We start from the raw sequence: 16,146 nt of genomic DNA, 5'->3' as shown, positions 1-16,146 counted from the left end.
TTTTCTCACAGTTCTGGAGGCTGGAAGTTCCAGATCAAAATGTCAGCAGGGTTGGTTTCTGAGGCCCCTCTTCCTGCTGTGTCCTTACCAAGGTCATTCCTCAGTCTGTGCTGTCTGTGTCCAAACCTCTTCTTACCAGGACATCAGTCGTATTGGGTTAGGACCCACCCTAGCCACCCCATTGTAACTTAATTACTATTCTAATGGCCCAGCCTCCAAGTAGTCACATTCTGAGATACTGGGGGTCAGGACTTCAACATAAAGGAATCTGGGGTGGAGGTGGGACAATTCAGCTCCTAACAAGCAGTAATTTGAACTAGAAACAAAAAAATACCCCTCATAATGGCAGGCACAAATACAGTGTCCAGGAATCAACGTAAATGCAAAGACTTCTTTAAGGAAAACCCTAAAAGTTAAATAGAAAAATTAGAAGAAGATCTGAATAATCCTGGATGGGAAAACAATATAAAAAAAGTTACTTCTTCCCAAATAATTTCATAAAGTTAGTGCAACTTTTTTTTTTTGTTCGAGGTGGAGTCTCGCTCTGTCGCTCAGGCTGGAGTGCAGTGGCGCAATCTCAGCTCACTGCAAGCTCCGCCTCCCGGGTTCACGCCATTCTCCTTCCTCAGCCTCCCGAGAGTTAGTGCAACTTTAATAAAAATTCCAGTTGGATAGTTTGAGAAATCTGATAAATTACTCTAAGTTATAAACAGAGAAATAGTTCACTAAAGAAGTGAGGTAGGGGTGGCTTGCTGTGTTATGAAAACATGTTACAGGGCCATGGAATTACAGTTTGTGGGTATTGGTACAAGGACAGACAACTAGAGGAATGAAACAGGATGGAGAGCTCAGGGACAAAGCCATGTATCTTTGGGAACCTAATTTACAATCAAAATGGCACCACAAACTGGCAGGGAAAAGGAAGGATTCTCACTATACGGGTGGATGAATTTGCACAGAGAAATGTAAATGTGAATTCCTACCCAACACTATGTAGAAGGTGAGTTCTATGGATTAAAGACCAGATTGTAATAGGTAAAAGTGTAAAGCTAATAGAGGAAAATAGCTTGTGACTTAGGGCAAGAAAAGTCCTTAATAAAACTTCAAAAGCACAAACCATAAAGCAAAATAACCTGATTCCATAAAAGTTTAGATTTCTGTCAGTGAAGATGGATAGAGTTAATTAGCTGAGAGAATGGAGAAGATATTTGCTATGTCAACTCCGATAAAGCACAAGCATCAAGAATATAGAGGGCACTCCAGTAAATTAACAAAAGGAGGTCAGTGATCTCAATAGAAAATTAACAGAGAAAATCCTAAAAACCATCAGTCTATGAAAAGGTGCTAAAAATAACCGGTAGAGAAAAAAAAAATAGAGAACTGGATCATGCCAAGTGTTGGCAAAAATGGGATAAAGCAGTGGTTCTCAGCTGCAGAGACTCCCCCCACCCCAGGGGATATTTGGCAGTGTCAGGGGACATTTTTTACTGTTACAACTGGGGAGGGAGGTGCTACTGGCATTTGGTGGATAGAGGCCAGGCATGCTGCTAAACGTCCTACAGTGCACAAGGTACTTCCCCTCAGTCAAGAATTATCCAGCTCCAAAGGGTAACAGGGTCAAGGCTGAGAAATCCTGAGGTGGAGGAACTGTGCAGCCAACGTGTCAAGAGTAATCTGGTACTATTTTGCCAAATTATTTATACGTATATCCTGTGACCCCATAATTTCCCTCCAGCATATATATATATATATCCCTTAGAAGTTCTCACACAGCTACTTAAGGGACCTGTTCATTGTACAGGGCTGTTCACTACAGTGCTGTTTGTTTGTGGGAGTTGGAAGCAAGCTGGATGTCTATCATTGGAAGGAGGGCTAGGTGCAGCCACACCATGGAGTATTATGTAGCAATGAACAGCAATGAATTAGATGTATACACAGAAATATGGATGGATCTGGACAAGCATATTATTGGAAAAAGGAAAACACAAAATGGAATATTGTCTTAGTCCCTTTTCTGTTGTTTATAACAGAAGAGCTGAAATGGGGTAATTTATAAAAGAAAGGTATTTATTTCATACAGATATGGAGGCTGTGAGGTACAAGGTTGAGGGGCTGCATCTGGTGAGGGCCTTCTTGCTGGTGGGGACTCTGAGAGTCTCAAGGTGGTGCAGGCTATCACATTGTGAGGGGACTGAGTGTGCTACTGTGCTAGCTCAGGTCTCTTCCTCTTCTTATAAAGCCATGAGTCCCACTCCCATGGTAACTCATTAAATTAATCCATTAATCTGTTAATCCATGAGATTAATCCACCATAAGGACAGTGCCCTCATGATCCAATCACCCTTTAAAGGCCTCGCCTCTCAATATAGCCACACTGGGGATTAAATTTCAGCATGAGTTTTGGCGGGGGGGAACATTAAAATCATAGTATATATAACAACACCACTTGCGTAATTTTAAATATATGCAAATAAGGTATATTTAACAGAATAGAATGGTAGCCTATGGAAGGAATAGGGGTGGAAATAAAGGTGACAGGAAAGAAATATAACAGAGGAGTCTTCAGTGGACCAATGGTAATCACGTGCCAGTAGGCGCCCACTTGCAAAGAAATTTGATATTGTGCGTCACCTAAGTCTGTTACTGAGCTCTCATATCAGACAGGAGTCTCATTTATTTAGCTGGCTTCTTAGATCAGAGGTGGTCCTTGGCCGACATCGATTCAACGTTTTGTGACTTGGTTGTTTGGCTGCAGTTGGTGTCACTCTCGATAGTTGTGTGACTCTATAGTTCATCAGCTGACATGTATAAACCTTCTGGATCAATGCAAGTGGGTGAACGCGCAGGTTGGGAGGAGAGTGAGAGTAGGAATTAGGGACACCTGGTGCCCTATTCCTTGGAGACAGAAGTCACACAGGCTGTGTGAGGTTGGGGAGGGCGCTCTGCAAAGGAAGAAATGATTTCATCAATTGGCCAATGGCTTCAGCAACCTGAAGTTTACTCCAACGAAGTTTGTCATGCAATAAAATCATAGACAATAATGTGTGAGGATTTCTAAAATTATTTTAAGTTTCCTAACTACATCACAGAAAGTGTTGGGGAAAATATAGTCAAGTGCTTTAACACAATACCAGCATTTTAAAGCATATTTACTTCCAATCTTTTATTATGAAAATAGTCAAGTCCAAGTGGAAGGCATGTATCTTACAGGGACAGCCCAGATTGGAAATGAGATCCAAATGCAAATCCGGAAACCACATGGGCCCTGGCAGTTCTCTGTGTCATGCTCTCTGTTCCCCTCCCTCCACCCCCTCATTTTGTTCTCCTTCCCTGATTCATGCCAACATTCAGCCCCAGAGCTATAATATTGTAATGTATTTTTTCTTCATAGTTCTTACTGTGTTGCAGCCTGGTGCTGGGCACTGGGGATTCAGCACTGTATAATACAGACATAGCTGCTACCCTCATGGGGCTTATATTCTAGTGCAGGAGACAGACTAAATATACGACTACACAAACAATTTTATAGTTGAAAGTTCTTAAAAGAGGATTTCTGCTTCTGGCAATGATAGGGCAACTGGGACAAGGCTTACCTTCTTGTTATAAACAGCTAGAAGAGTGTACAAAGTATGTGAAACAACTGTTTATAGACTTTGGACAACAGGCAATGTAGAACTGTGACCCTTGGGAGAGAGGACATGAATGAGTTAAGCTTTATGATTATCATGGCTTTCTGGCTTGAGGCATTTTCTAGATTGTGTTGTAGGAGGTGGGGATTCTAAGCACAGCACGCAAGTTTCTCCGAGCTGAGGAGAACGAGTTTGGAGACAAAAAGGCTGGAATTTGCATGAGGGAACTGTGCAGAGAAAGAGCTCCAGAAATATGCATTGGAGTCTCCTTGAGAGTGTTGGCAGTAATTTCTGGACTATAGCACAGAGGTGGGGGAGAAGTACAGATAGAGCCTGGCAGTTTTGCTTTGCTAAGGAGGATGAGTTTGAAGTTGGGGAGGCCAAAGGGACTAGAACTGACAGGGCAGAGTTCCAGAAAGGAAGGTTTCCAGAAATCTGCATAGAGATTGCCTTAAATCTTTGGCCAAAGACCAGTCTGTACATGTGTGAAACTTTAGTGTCTGGACAAGATCAACTTCCAAAGAAACAGCAGTTATCAGGGAGCTACAAAAATGAATAATTCCCAGAGTTTACATGAGGCCAAGAATCACTCAACTTTCCTCCAGCCACAGTGCAAACCAGGTTGCATATGTGGGGCTCTCACCAGAGACGCTAGAAGGGCCATGCATTAGAAGTGGGGTTAACTTTGCCTTAGAATAAAGAGTAGTCTAGGTCTGCCCTCAAACAATTTTAAAACAAGGCATGAAAGGATCAAACCGACTCATAAATGACGTAGCTGCTACCAGAATAGGCCCAACGCTATAAAAATGTCACAAAGGGCCGGGCACGGTGGCTCACGCCTGTAATCCCAGCACTTTGGGAGGCCAAGGCGGGTGGATTGTTTCAGGTCAGGAGTTTGAGACCAGCCTTACCAACACGGTGAAATCCTGTCTCTACTAAAATACAGACAAATATTAGCTGGGCATGGTGGTGGGCGCATGTAATCCCAGCTAATAGGGAGGCTGAGGCAGGATAATTGCTTGAACCCAGGAGGTGGAGGTTGCAGTGAGCCGAGATCGTGCCACTGCACTCCAGCCTGGGCAACAGAGTAAGACTCTGTCCCCCCGCCAAAAAAAAAATCACAAAATCTAGCACTAAACAACATTAAATTCACAATGTTCAACAACCAATCAAAAATTACTTACTAAGCAAGAAAATGTGACTCATACACAGGAGAAAAATCAGCCGATAGACCAACCCAGAAGTGACAGAGATGATGGAATTAGCACACAGGAGATTAAAACAACTGTGATAAACATTATGCAAATGCTCAAGGATGTGAAGTAAAATGTGAAGATGATGAAGAGGGTAATGGAAGCTAAAAGGACAAAACAATATATAAAATAAAAATTTCCTGTATCAGATTAAAATTAGATGACACACTGCAGAAATTATTGAACTAAAAGACATAGCAGTAGAATCTGTCCAAAGTGAAGGAAAGAAACAAAAAGATTGGGAAAAAAAGGAATAAAGCCTCATTGTCATGTGGGGAAATGTTATAAGATCTAATGTATGAGTAACGAGAGTCCCAGAAAGAAAAGAGAGAGAGGAAGGGATCAAAAAATTTGAAGAAATAATGGCCAAACATTTTCAAAATGTGATAAAATTATAAACTTACAGATGAAGTTCAATGAACCTGAGGTAGGGTAAAACACACACACACACACACACACACACACACACACACACACACACACACACACACACACACACACACCCCACACCAGAGAATTCCACAAATGACTGAAAATCAATAATAAAGAAAATCTATAGAATAGCTAAAGAAAAAAAAGACATGAAATACAGAGAAGGAAAAAAAAAATACAAAAATGACTACAGATGTTTCATCCCCAAATATACAAGCTTGAAGTAAGTGAAACATTTCACTCTGTCACCCAGGCTGATGTGCAGTGGTGTGATCATGGCTCACTGTAGCTTTGACCTCCCTGGACTTAGGTGATCCTCCCACCTCAACATCCTAAGTAGCTGGGACTACAGGTACAAACCACCATGCCTGGCGAATTTTCTTTTCTTTCTTTTTTTTTTTTTTTGAGATGGGGTTTCACCATGTTGCCCAGGCTGGTCTCAAACGCCTTGGCTCAAGCAATCTCCCACCTCAGCCTCCCAAAGTGCTGGGGTTACAGGCATGAGCTACGGTGCCTGGCCTGGAACATTTTTAAAGTGCTGAAAAGGAAAATAGAAATGCCCACCTAGAATTTAATGTCCAACAAAAAATATCATTCAAAACTGAAAGCAAGCTAGGCACGGTGGTGCATACCTGTAGCCCCAGCTACTTGGGAGGCTAAGATGGGAGGTCACTTGAGGTCAGGAGCTAGAGGCTGTAGTGTGCTATGATCGCTCCTGTGAATAGCTACTGGACTCCAGCCAGGCAACATAGAGAGACTCCCTCTCTAAAACAAAAACAACAACAAAAATTGAAGGTAAAATAGAAACTTTAGATACACAAAAGCTGAGAAAACTTGTCACCAGCTGACCTGAATTACAAAAAAAAAAAAAAAATTAAAGGAAGTTCTTTAGGCAAAATGAAAATAATACTACACAGAAGGTTGGGTATCCACAAAGGAAGGTAGACTGAAAAAACGATAAATATGTGGGTAAATATAAAAGCCTTTTTTTCGGATTTTAAGATGTTTAGTAAGATAATCAACTGTTTAAAGCAAAAATAATAACAATGTTTCATGGTGTCCATACCATGTGTTGGAAAGAGATCAAACTAGAGCTCTCTAGCTGAAGGGGTCAGACTTTGACAAAATCCAAATCCGATGCATAGCATCTGTAGAAGTAAAATGTATGAGAATATTACAAAGATGTGGGGGCAAAGTGGAAGTATATTGTTTGAAAGATTTTATCCATGAAGTGGTATTATTATTATTTAAAGTCAGACTGTTACAAGTTAAACATATGAATTATTAACTGTACAGCAACTATTAAAATCATAGCAAAGACATCTAGGTAATAAGTCCGTTGTGAAAATAAAATGTAAGCTAAAATTTAATCAACAAGAGAACAGGAAGAAAGGAAAAATAGAAACAAAGAAGAAATGGGACAAGTGTAAAGCAAACAGCAAGCTAATAGCTTTATGCGTAACTACTGCATATCAATAATTACATCAGATGCAAATAGCCTAAACACTCCAATTAAAAAGCAGAAATTGTCAGGATGAAAAGCTGAGCACGGTGGCTCAAGCCTATAATCCCAACACTTTGGGAGGCCAAGGTGGGTGGATCACGAGGTCAGGAGTTCGAGACCAGCCTGGCCAACATGGTGAAACCCTGTCTCTACTAAAAATACAAAAATTAGCCAGGTGTGGTGGTGCACGCATGTAATCCCAGCTACTGGGGAGGCTGAGGCAGGAGAATTGCTTTTACCCAGGAGGCGGAGGTTGCAGTGAGCCGAGATTGTGCCGCTGCACTACAGCCTGGGTGTCAGAGCAAGACTCTGTCAAAAAAATAAAAATAAATAAATAAATAAATAATTTTTTGAAAGCCCTACTATTTGATGTCTATAAGAAAAACACTTAAAATTTCTAGTGGGAGCTTCGGGGGACAGCTTGGAGAGGCCTGTTGGCTGGTCTGAGCCCTTCCACTGGAGAGCTCTGGGTTCATTTGTTTCCTACATTGAGGGTTTGCATCCAATTAAGGTTCTGGTGAAAAGACATAAATAAAGGTGGAAGACCCCTGGGCAGTGAAAGTGTTCGAGTTGCTTCCATTGTTCTTGTTCTTTGTCCCTGAGCAGTTCTCCAGCTCCTTCGAGTAGGCCTTGTGGATCCTCCTAGCTGCCCTAGCTTAGGAGTAGCTTGGCAGGAGGTACGCCCTGCCATTTGTTTCTTTTTACACTTTAAATGTGGTTGCACATAAGTGACAAAAATCACATTATGTGACTTGCATTTATTTTTGCTGGACAGCACTGCACAGAGCTTCACCCCCTTTCGGAAGGCCTTCTGTACATTCTTTCATTTGACTTGTATCACGGCTCTATGTTAGGGTTAAGGTATGTATTGTATGAAAATGAGTCACGTAGGCAGAAGACTAAGGTCTTGTCCCCACTTATTTCTGTGACTTTGAATAGGTCTGTTTTCTTCTCTGTAACACAGATATAATCATCCCTTCCCTGCCAGCCTCACTGAGTTCTCAGGAGACCAAGTTAGGAGACTGTCAGGGAGTAGAGTTGGTGTTCTTATTCTCATGAGGAGGAAGGGAGAGCCTATGCCCCGAGAAGTGAACTGGCCTGTCCAGGCTGGGCACAAGGCACATCCCCCCTGGGCCAGCGTCATTTCTCTCCAGCAGGGATTCCACCGCTAACCTTACGGGGCCATGTTCTCTTCCACCCACTGCTCCATCAAGTCATCAGATTAATTTGACAGGAGAGGCCCCTGCAAAGGGCAGGTTTGCCTTTTGGCCCACCCCAACCTTTGGGGATTGTGAGCCAGGAAAATAAACAAGATTGACCTCAAAGAAGCGTACAAAATGGGCCTTGGGTCAAGCAGCTTATTTATGCAGCAACTTTTCTTCCAAATAGCCGATGGGTTTTGAATCTTTACCAGGCTATTCCTTCCAATGACTCCTTTACCCCTTGAAAAAAAATGATGACCATATTTCTCTCTGTTTTCCAGTTGAAGAAATAGAAGAACATAGAGGCTGAATGTTCTATTCAGAGGCATCCAGCCAAACAGCTGCAGAGCCAAGAGCAGCATCCCAGGGCCAGAGGGGCAAGGCCAGTGAGGTGAAAAGGCAGGGCTGTACACAGGAGGAGAGACGGAACAGCTGGCCGAGAGCAGCCCGTGGGGAGGGGGTGGACAGGCTGGCTGCTGCCCAGATCCAGGGGCCTCTTCAGAGACATGGTGCACAGATGAGTGGCCGTGACTTTCACATGAATGAGTTCAATGAATGAGTTCTTATTCAATGAATGAGTTGTCTCCTAACCACAGATAGGTTGGGCACATTCTCTGCTTTGGGGGTCAGAAGTCCTTTTCCTGGGTGAGATGACTTCCCTGTGGTAGGTTCAGGCCTTATGCTGTACTCAGCTTCTCCCATGTCTAATGGCAGTGCTGGCCGCTGACTGTGCCAGTTTCAGGGCCTGGAGGACCACGTGGCCTTGCCAGAGCGTGATGTGGGTTTGATTGTTGTTGGATAGCAGGTTGAAGCCATCCAGAAAACAGCCACATTCTGTGTAGTGTGGTTTCTAAAAGAGCATCACTGACTGCTCACAGTTGGGGTAGGAGTGGGGCCGTGGATGGGGAAGACGCAGGGAGTGGCAGGAGGGGTGACCCAGCCTCAGTGACCAAAGAGTGCCTGGGCCCTACACATCTTGAATCTTAGATCTGAGCTCCAGGGGCCTTGGCACGGTGTATGCCTCCTCCACACTCAGCTCTCATTCCTTCTGGAGCACAAGATTAAGAACACAGGGGTCTCAGATCTTCAGTTGCTTGTGGGACCCTCCTGGATAGCACCTCTAGTCTTGGCTTGGGGAGCTTCAGGTGAGGGTGTGCAGGAGGGTTGGGGATTAAGAATGGACTTTGAGTTGCACAGACTGAGATTCCTTCCCAGCCATGTGATGTGATGGATTCTATTATCTCTCTCAACCTCACAGGGTTGCTGAGAGGATTGAATAAAACAGCTGTTAACATAATGCCTGGCACGCAATAAGCATGCCATCAATGACAGCCATTATTTTATCAGCAGTTGCACAATGAATCGGGGGAAGCTGGAGGTGAGGGGGCAGAAGGTGGCTCCCTGTCCCGGTGCCCCAAAAGGCTTCTACACAGCTAGCCAGACTCCTGTCCTCCTTCCTTGCCACCACCTCTGAGGCCATGCCCGTCCACTGAAGAGGGTGCCGTGCCTTTGATGACTTTGCTCCCATTTCCAGGCCCCTCTTGCTGTGCTCTTTCTCCTGCTTCCTCCTGCATGCCACCTGACTCTGCCAGCTCCCTGCAGTGGGATTGGCTACCTCTGTTTTTCTGACTCCCCGAGGGCTGACTCCATAGAGGGGGTGTCGAGTGCCTGGACCTAAGTCATACTCAACTTCCCTCCAACACGCAGCTCCCACCCTCCAGCTCTCGTTCTACTCAGCTCTTCCTCCAGGTGCATTCTGTGCCTGGCAGCACCAGAGCAGGGGTAGTGGATGAGGACAGTGGTTGAGAAGCCCTCCTGGCCTTGGGCAGCTGGAGAAGCAGGTGCCCAATGTTGCTTCTGGCAGACCAGCCCTGCGTACACTGGTTTCTGTCTTCCAGCCCTTGCATATCCAGCTCTGCTCTCCCCAGGGCCTTTGCCCTCCCTCCTCCAACAGGGGCTCTTGCACTGGTAGTGCACTGAGGCAGACGGTGCAGTTTTAGGGCCCCATGGGAGGCAGGCAGAACAGCTGATTTCTCCCAGAATCACTCACTCTCCTTGCATCAGCCTGCATCCCAGACTCAGTCAGCACTGACGCAGGGTTTCTGTGATCAATAAATAGCCTGCACTTTGGACAGTTTCTCTCCACTTCTCCTCATTGCCAGAATCCCAAATCCCTTGGGATTCTAGCCACAGCCACTTTTGTAATGCCATTTAGGAAAATGTGCTATTACATGAAAGACCTGCTTTCTAGAACTGGACCACTCACGAAAATCCTCCCCTACCCATTGGTTATGTCCCGTCAGGGGCACAATTACAAATTGCTTCAATTACCCCTAGGAAAGAGTTTCCGTTTCTAAGTGCCTTCTTATTAGTAAGTCACATAAGACATGTTACTTAACTTTTCTCTTTCCCAAGTTCCTCATCTGTAATATGAGTAAAACAATAGTTTTATGTCATACGGTTGGTATGAGGACAAAAGGAATAACACTGCCAAGCACAGTCAACAGAGACTGGCACAGAGCAGAAACCTAACCTGTGTTGTTTGTCATTATCAGGGAACTCATTATCAAAGCAGCCCGAAAGCAAACTCTGGTGCCCTTTCCTTCCCCTGAAACTCGGTGACAGCTGCATCCTATAGCTTGGAGAGTTGCTTACAGTTTTGTTGTATCAGTGTCTGTCTCATGTAGCAAATGCGAATCAGAAGCAGGGATAGAGGTTTAGTGCCCTCCAGGCACTAGGGTTACAACATGTCCTTTCTCCCCATAGCCTCCTGGTTCTTTGCTCAGCAAACTGCCATCTACCCTGAAACACATCTCCTGACTGGTGACTCATGTAGCTATTTTTAGATTTTCTAGATTAAACTGTAATAAAAATCGACATATATAACCGTCTCTGCTCTCTATGATCTTAATAATTGAGTCATTTTACAAAGCACATTCACCTTCTTGCTGCCAGATGAAAGCATCCTTCACTCGCATGTCCATTAGACTACGAGCTCCTTGAGAGTCAAGGCTCTGGCAGGCTTGCAGAATGTCTGGTCTCTGGAGCAGCGTCTGGCACCTGGTAGGCATCACTTCTGCTGGCTTCACCGCTTCCAGGTGGCTCTGGCAATGTATGTCCTCCCTCTGCACATCCTTGAAAACCCCTTATGATGTGGGGGGCTATCTGGGGCTGTCTCCATGGCAGGGCAGCAAGAGAGACCATGGTGGGAGCCCCTGGCCCGTCCACCGCCTGGAGTGCAAACTGGACACCCAGAAGCTAGCTGGGCCTGAGCTGGACATTTAGTGCCAGAAGGTGAGTCATTGCCCTTAAGAAGAAGGCCTTAGGGAATGGTGGAGATATTGTCCAAAGAAGGGAAGAGGAATTTCATAGGTAGTATAGTTGGAGAAAAAAGAACATTATTCCCCCAGTGAATACAGTTGACCTAATAAGCCGGTTTCATTAGTTTAGTTCAGGCTATAATTTGGGCCTGAAAAATACCCCTTCTGTTTACTATGTGACTTTTTTGGGACCCTGTGGCCTGGTGGAGATGAGACCTTGAGGATGAGACCTGCTGCTCTGTCTCCAAGCTCAGTGCCTTCGTGGAGGCAGCAGTTCCTAGACAAGTCTGTTGGCATCCAATACCTGGCTGACCCTGAGCCACCCTCCCAGGGGCATGGGACTTCAAGCCATGAATGCAAGTCTTAAAAGTGTGAGGGGGGGGCAGGGGGCCTCACTGGGGTTATTGATTCAGGGTTGGATGAAGTCCAGGTTAGAATCAACACAGGGAAGTTTCCATTCTCCAAGGCTCTCCAAAGGCTCTGAAATCTGTCAGGCAGATGGAGGCCGTGGGAGAGAGATAAAAAGGCTCTGGGTTTGGAGTTCTGAAGTCCAGTCCTGCTCTGAACACTATTAGCCATGTGTCACCTGCTCCAGGGAGACAGAGGAGACAGGAACTAACCTGCAGTCCACAGGCAGTCAGGGAGTCTGCCCACGCTCTGAAATGACACACATGTGCTTCTGTGTCTGTGCATGTTCTGGAGGAACAGTCTCATAACTTTTTTTCACCAGATTCTCAAAGGGGTCCCTGATTCAGAAAAATAAGAACCACTCCACAGAGGGACTGCTGAGATTCTGAGCGTCGCAAGCCTTCTGGAGTTCTAAATGGTGCTCCTGGCAGTCCCCTCTGTGGGTCTCTATGCTGCAGAGGCAAAGCCATGTGTCCTCATCCCGCCCTGCACCTGGCAGTGTGACTGAGAGGGGAAGCCAGGATGGGGTTCCTGTTGGATCCCACATGTGTTTCCTCCCTGGCTTGTGGAAGAAAATGTGTTCTCCAAAGTGCTGTGCTCTTCCTGAGTAATTGGAGGCAGATGCTCTGTTAGAATCGTTTCCTTTGGCTCGCTGTCCAGAGGCTCTGGGTGTCTCCGAGGATGGATGCTAGCTGGCTCAACATCTCCAGCATCCCGTTACTGGGGCATCTGGTCCGACTTTGGCACCACATCAGGGGTGGTGGCTGCCTGAGCCTCAGGGCCCATTTGCTGGAGGAAAAAGACACCACCTGTGACCTTTCACAGCCCATGACACTATCTGTCTTCTGGATACACAGAGACAGTTTTGTCAGCTTTCTCTCCGATACCTTATTGTCTTTAGGTCAGGTCAGAAATTCATAAATGGGCAGTTTGGGTCCTGGGGAATTCAGTCAAATGAACTGGGCGAGGTAGGCAACAAATCTCTGGTGATGGAACCCTTTGACTTCTTGCCCTCTTGCCCCAGGCACCTCCAACCTTTTCGGGGGAAAACCCTGACCAGGCTACCAAGTCAGCCACCAGGATATGGAGATAGAAAAAGAAATGCTTAAATCTCCAGAGGCAGGGGAGCTGAAGCATGTGGTCCCCCGGCTTTTCCTGAGATAAAGGTCCCTGTGGGCAGACCTCACTATAGGCTATTTCTGGAAATCCAGGCCAAATCCGTCCTCGGTCCACCGGGCTGGACTGCACCACTGCCACGGCTTCTGCTGCTCCGAAGGGTTCACGCTCTTGGACAGCTCATTTTTTGGTATATACTTTGCTTCTTCCGGGCCTCTTCTCCCCTCTTTTAAAAAAGGCCTGCTTATTTATTTAGAGATGGAGACTTACTCTTTTTGCCCAGGCTGTAGTGCGGTAGGGCGATCTCGGCTCACTGCAACTTCTGGGTCCTGGGTTCAAGTGATTCTCCTGCCTCAGCCTCCTGAGTAGCTGGGATTGCAGGCCCGCACCACTACGCCTGGCTAATTTTGTATTTTTAGTAGAGATGGGGTTTCACCATGTTGGCCAGGCTGGTCTCTAACTGAACTCCTGACCTCAAGTGATTCACCTGCCTCGGTGTCCCAAAGTATTGGGATTACAGGGGTGAGCCACAGTGCCCGGCCACCACGCCTGGCCCCAATTTAAATATTCATTTGGCAGGAGAGGTGGGAAGTTTTATTTTCCCACCCAAAGGCGTCAGAGTTAATACCCTGTCAGCTGCAAGTGGCCTCCCCAGCTGCCGGAACCCAGCTCTTCCTGTGGACAGAGGCAATATTTTCCCTGGACGAGATGAACGAGCAGGGTTTTCCCAGAACATCCAGGCCCCTAAGCCCTGTGCCATGAACGACCTCCACATCACTGACACTGGCTTTTCCATCCGGCTGGCTTGGCCCTGGCCGAGTCACGGAAGGAGGAGTCAAGTTTCAGAGGAAAATAAATGGAATGAGTGCTTTTCCACCACATGGACGTAATTATGTCTTGGATGGATTTTCCCATTTCCATCATTGCAAAAGATCTTGCAACGATCTTGAAAAGACAAATTGCCAGTGTCTTGATGCCTGCCGTCACCTGGTCCCAGGAGTGGGATGCTGGGGAGTCATTATCCCTGGTATTTGTAGACAGCTGTACAGTTTGCCATGACAAGCCTCCTGTGACTTGGACAGTATAGGTAGTGGGCAGGGGCCTTATAAGCGTCCCGTGGTGCAGAAGTCCCCTCTGCCCACATCCTCCTTGTTCAAGACTTCATCCCCTCCCCCACACCCACTTGGCTCTTCTGAGACCCTTGGTCCACCTTCTTTCAATTGCCAGGCCCTCCATCCTCTCCTGGATTTCCTGGTTTCTTTTCTTCCCCATCTATGTCTTTCCTCCCATCTGAAATCCCTTGGCTGCCGGGGTCTCCTGCTAAAGCTTAGTGTGAATATTTCACACCCTGACTCTCCTACTGTCCGCCTGCTCCTGCCTCCTGGCTGCTGAGCAGAGCTGGAGAGAGGTGTGGCCCTGATCTGTTTCTTAGGAAAGCCTAGCCTCACTTTCCATGGCAGGTGGTCACTCGTGTCCTTCCTAAGCCCCCATACCACCCTCAGCATCCCCTCTCTAGGACTTTCCTCTCACCTTTCCTCTAGAAATGGATGCTCCAGACCGGCCTGGGCCCTCCTCTCCTGCTCTGGTGCTCTCTGTCATGCCTGCACTGGGTGACTTGGGCAAGCTGCCTTGCTTCTCATGGTACACTTTCTTCATCTGCAACGTGGGTGTGATGATGCTTCCGACTCTTGGGCTCTTGGGAGGGTCACACAGGAAGCAGGAGAAAGGCCTGGCTCCAAGAACAACAGCTGCTTTATTGGGGCCACCTTTGGACACAGTGCTATCTGTTCAAATCTGGTCCTCCATGCAGCCTCTTCAGCTTCTCTCTCCCATCCATGAGGATGGCTTCTCCCCATTAACCCCAAAAAGCCACCTGCCTGCCAGCCTCATGCCTGAGCTCCCCTACTTTACCTCCTGCCCTGCCTTACATGCTATGTACTCTTTTCCTTATTTATGCAAATGTATGGGGGCTCTGCTGCCCCAGGTTCTTCCCTGTGTAGCCTTGAATCCCTTCTCTTTTGTTTTTTTACTCTTTTTTTTGTCATCCCCAACACCCCAAAGTAAACTGAAACAATGCTCCCTTCTCTTCAAATAGTGTATCAGTTATCTATTGCCACACAACCCTGCCTCAAAACAACATCAGAATTCCATGGCTTAGAACAATAGGCATCTATTTAGCTCCTAGGTCCATGGGCCAAGGATTGGGGGTCTCAGCAGAACTGTTCTGGACTCAGACTCGGTCATGTGTCTGCAATCAGCTGGCACAGGGCTATCAGGGTGAATGAACTGTGTGTCCCTCTTGTACTCTGGTCAAGTTAGACTGCTGTGTTCTCATGGAAGTGGTTGAGAACGAGAACGAGCTTTTTCAATCCTCCAGTTGTGTCCCATTGGCCGACACAAAGCAAATCCCAAGGCTGGTCCCAGAGTCAGAGGGGAGGCACTCCAAAGTGATAGGACAGGGACTATGGCACAGGCCAGGAGAAGGGTAGGGCCACATGCAATCAATCTGCCACAGATGGCACCAGGAGCACTCACTCCTCTATGACAGAGGTCTGTTCCTGCAGCTGCCTCATTCCACCTCCACCATGCTGCAGCTCCTAGTAGCAGGAACTGCATCAAACTCATGGCTGTGTCTCCAGCATTTAATTTATCACCGTGCCTGGCTCATAGGAGACCCTCAGTGGTAGTGGATTTAATTGAATGTTTCCTCTCATCTTAAACTCAGTCTCAAGGAGCTCATTATGCATTTTTTTAAAGCCTGCAGCATCCGGTATTCCCATGTGGTCTCCCACCCTAGTACTAACCAGGCCAGACCCTGCGTAGCTGACAAGATCAGGTGCATTCAAGGTGGTATGGCCGTAGACTGTGCTCCACTTTTAAACAGCTGTCTTTGTGCCTCTGTAATCAAATGCCTTGCCTCATTCCAGGGCCCATTTAGCCCCCAATAGACCAAGCTCATGGTCCCTGTGGTCAAGATGCTTGATGGAGCCATTTATAACAGCTGTTCTCCCCTGCAACCTTACCCGTCCATATCTGTACTTTTGAAAGCCACTGTTAACCTTTGGGCACATTCAAGCCATTCATCAGCATCTGAAGCCTCTCTGACTTTTCAGTAACAAGCAGGTATCTCTTCTTCAGAACATTCTCTTCCCAGCAGTATAGGACCATGGATAGAACTTGGCCTTCAGTCTCAGAGAGACCCAGGTTGCACCACCTTTCAGTGGTGTGGCTCTAGGCCAGGGTATCTGCTTCACTCCACTGCAGAGTTGGCTTCTCTCTGGG

The 16,146-nt window shown here is 46.5% G+C and overlaps 1 long non-coding RNA gene and 1 pseudogene across 1 annotated transcript; both read right to left on the bottom strand.

Moving 5' to 3' along the window:
- Nucleotides 1-2,046: 2,046 nt before the first annotated feature.
- Nucleotides 2,047-11,478, bottom strand: LOC124904548 (uncharacterized). The gene is made up of 2 exons (XR_007066939.1): nt 10,962-11,478; nt 2,047-2,942 (listed from the first exon to the last, which is right to left on the bottom strand). It is a non-coding gene; the product is annotated as an uncharacterized LOC124904548 (long non-coding RNA).
- On the bottom strand, nt 15,620-15,728 carry RNA5SP79 (RNA, 5S ribosomal pseudogene 79; annotated as a pseudogene).

This window comes from Homo sapiens, chromosome 1, assembly GCF_000001405.40.
Source record: "Homo sapiens chromosome 1, GRCh38.p14 Primary Assembly".
Taxonomy (NCBI): domain Eukaryota; kingdom Metazoa; phylum Chordata; class Mammalia; order Primates; family Hominidae; genus Homo; species Homo sapiens.
Note: the sequence above shows the minus strand (reverse complement) of the source record. Positions and strands in the feature narration are given on the sequence as shown.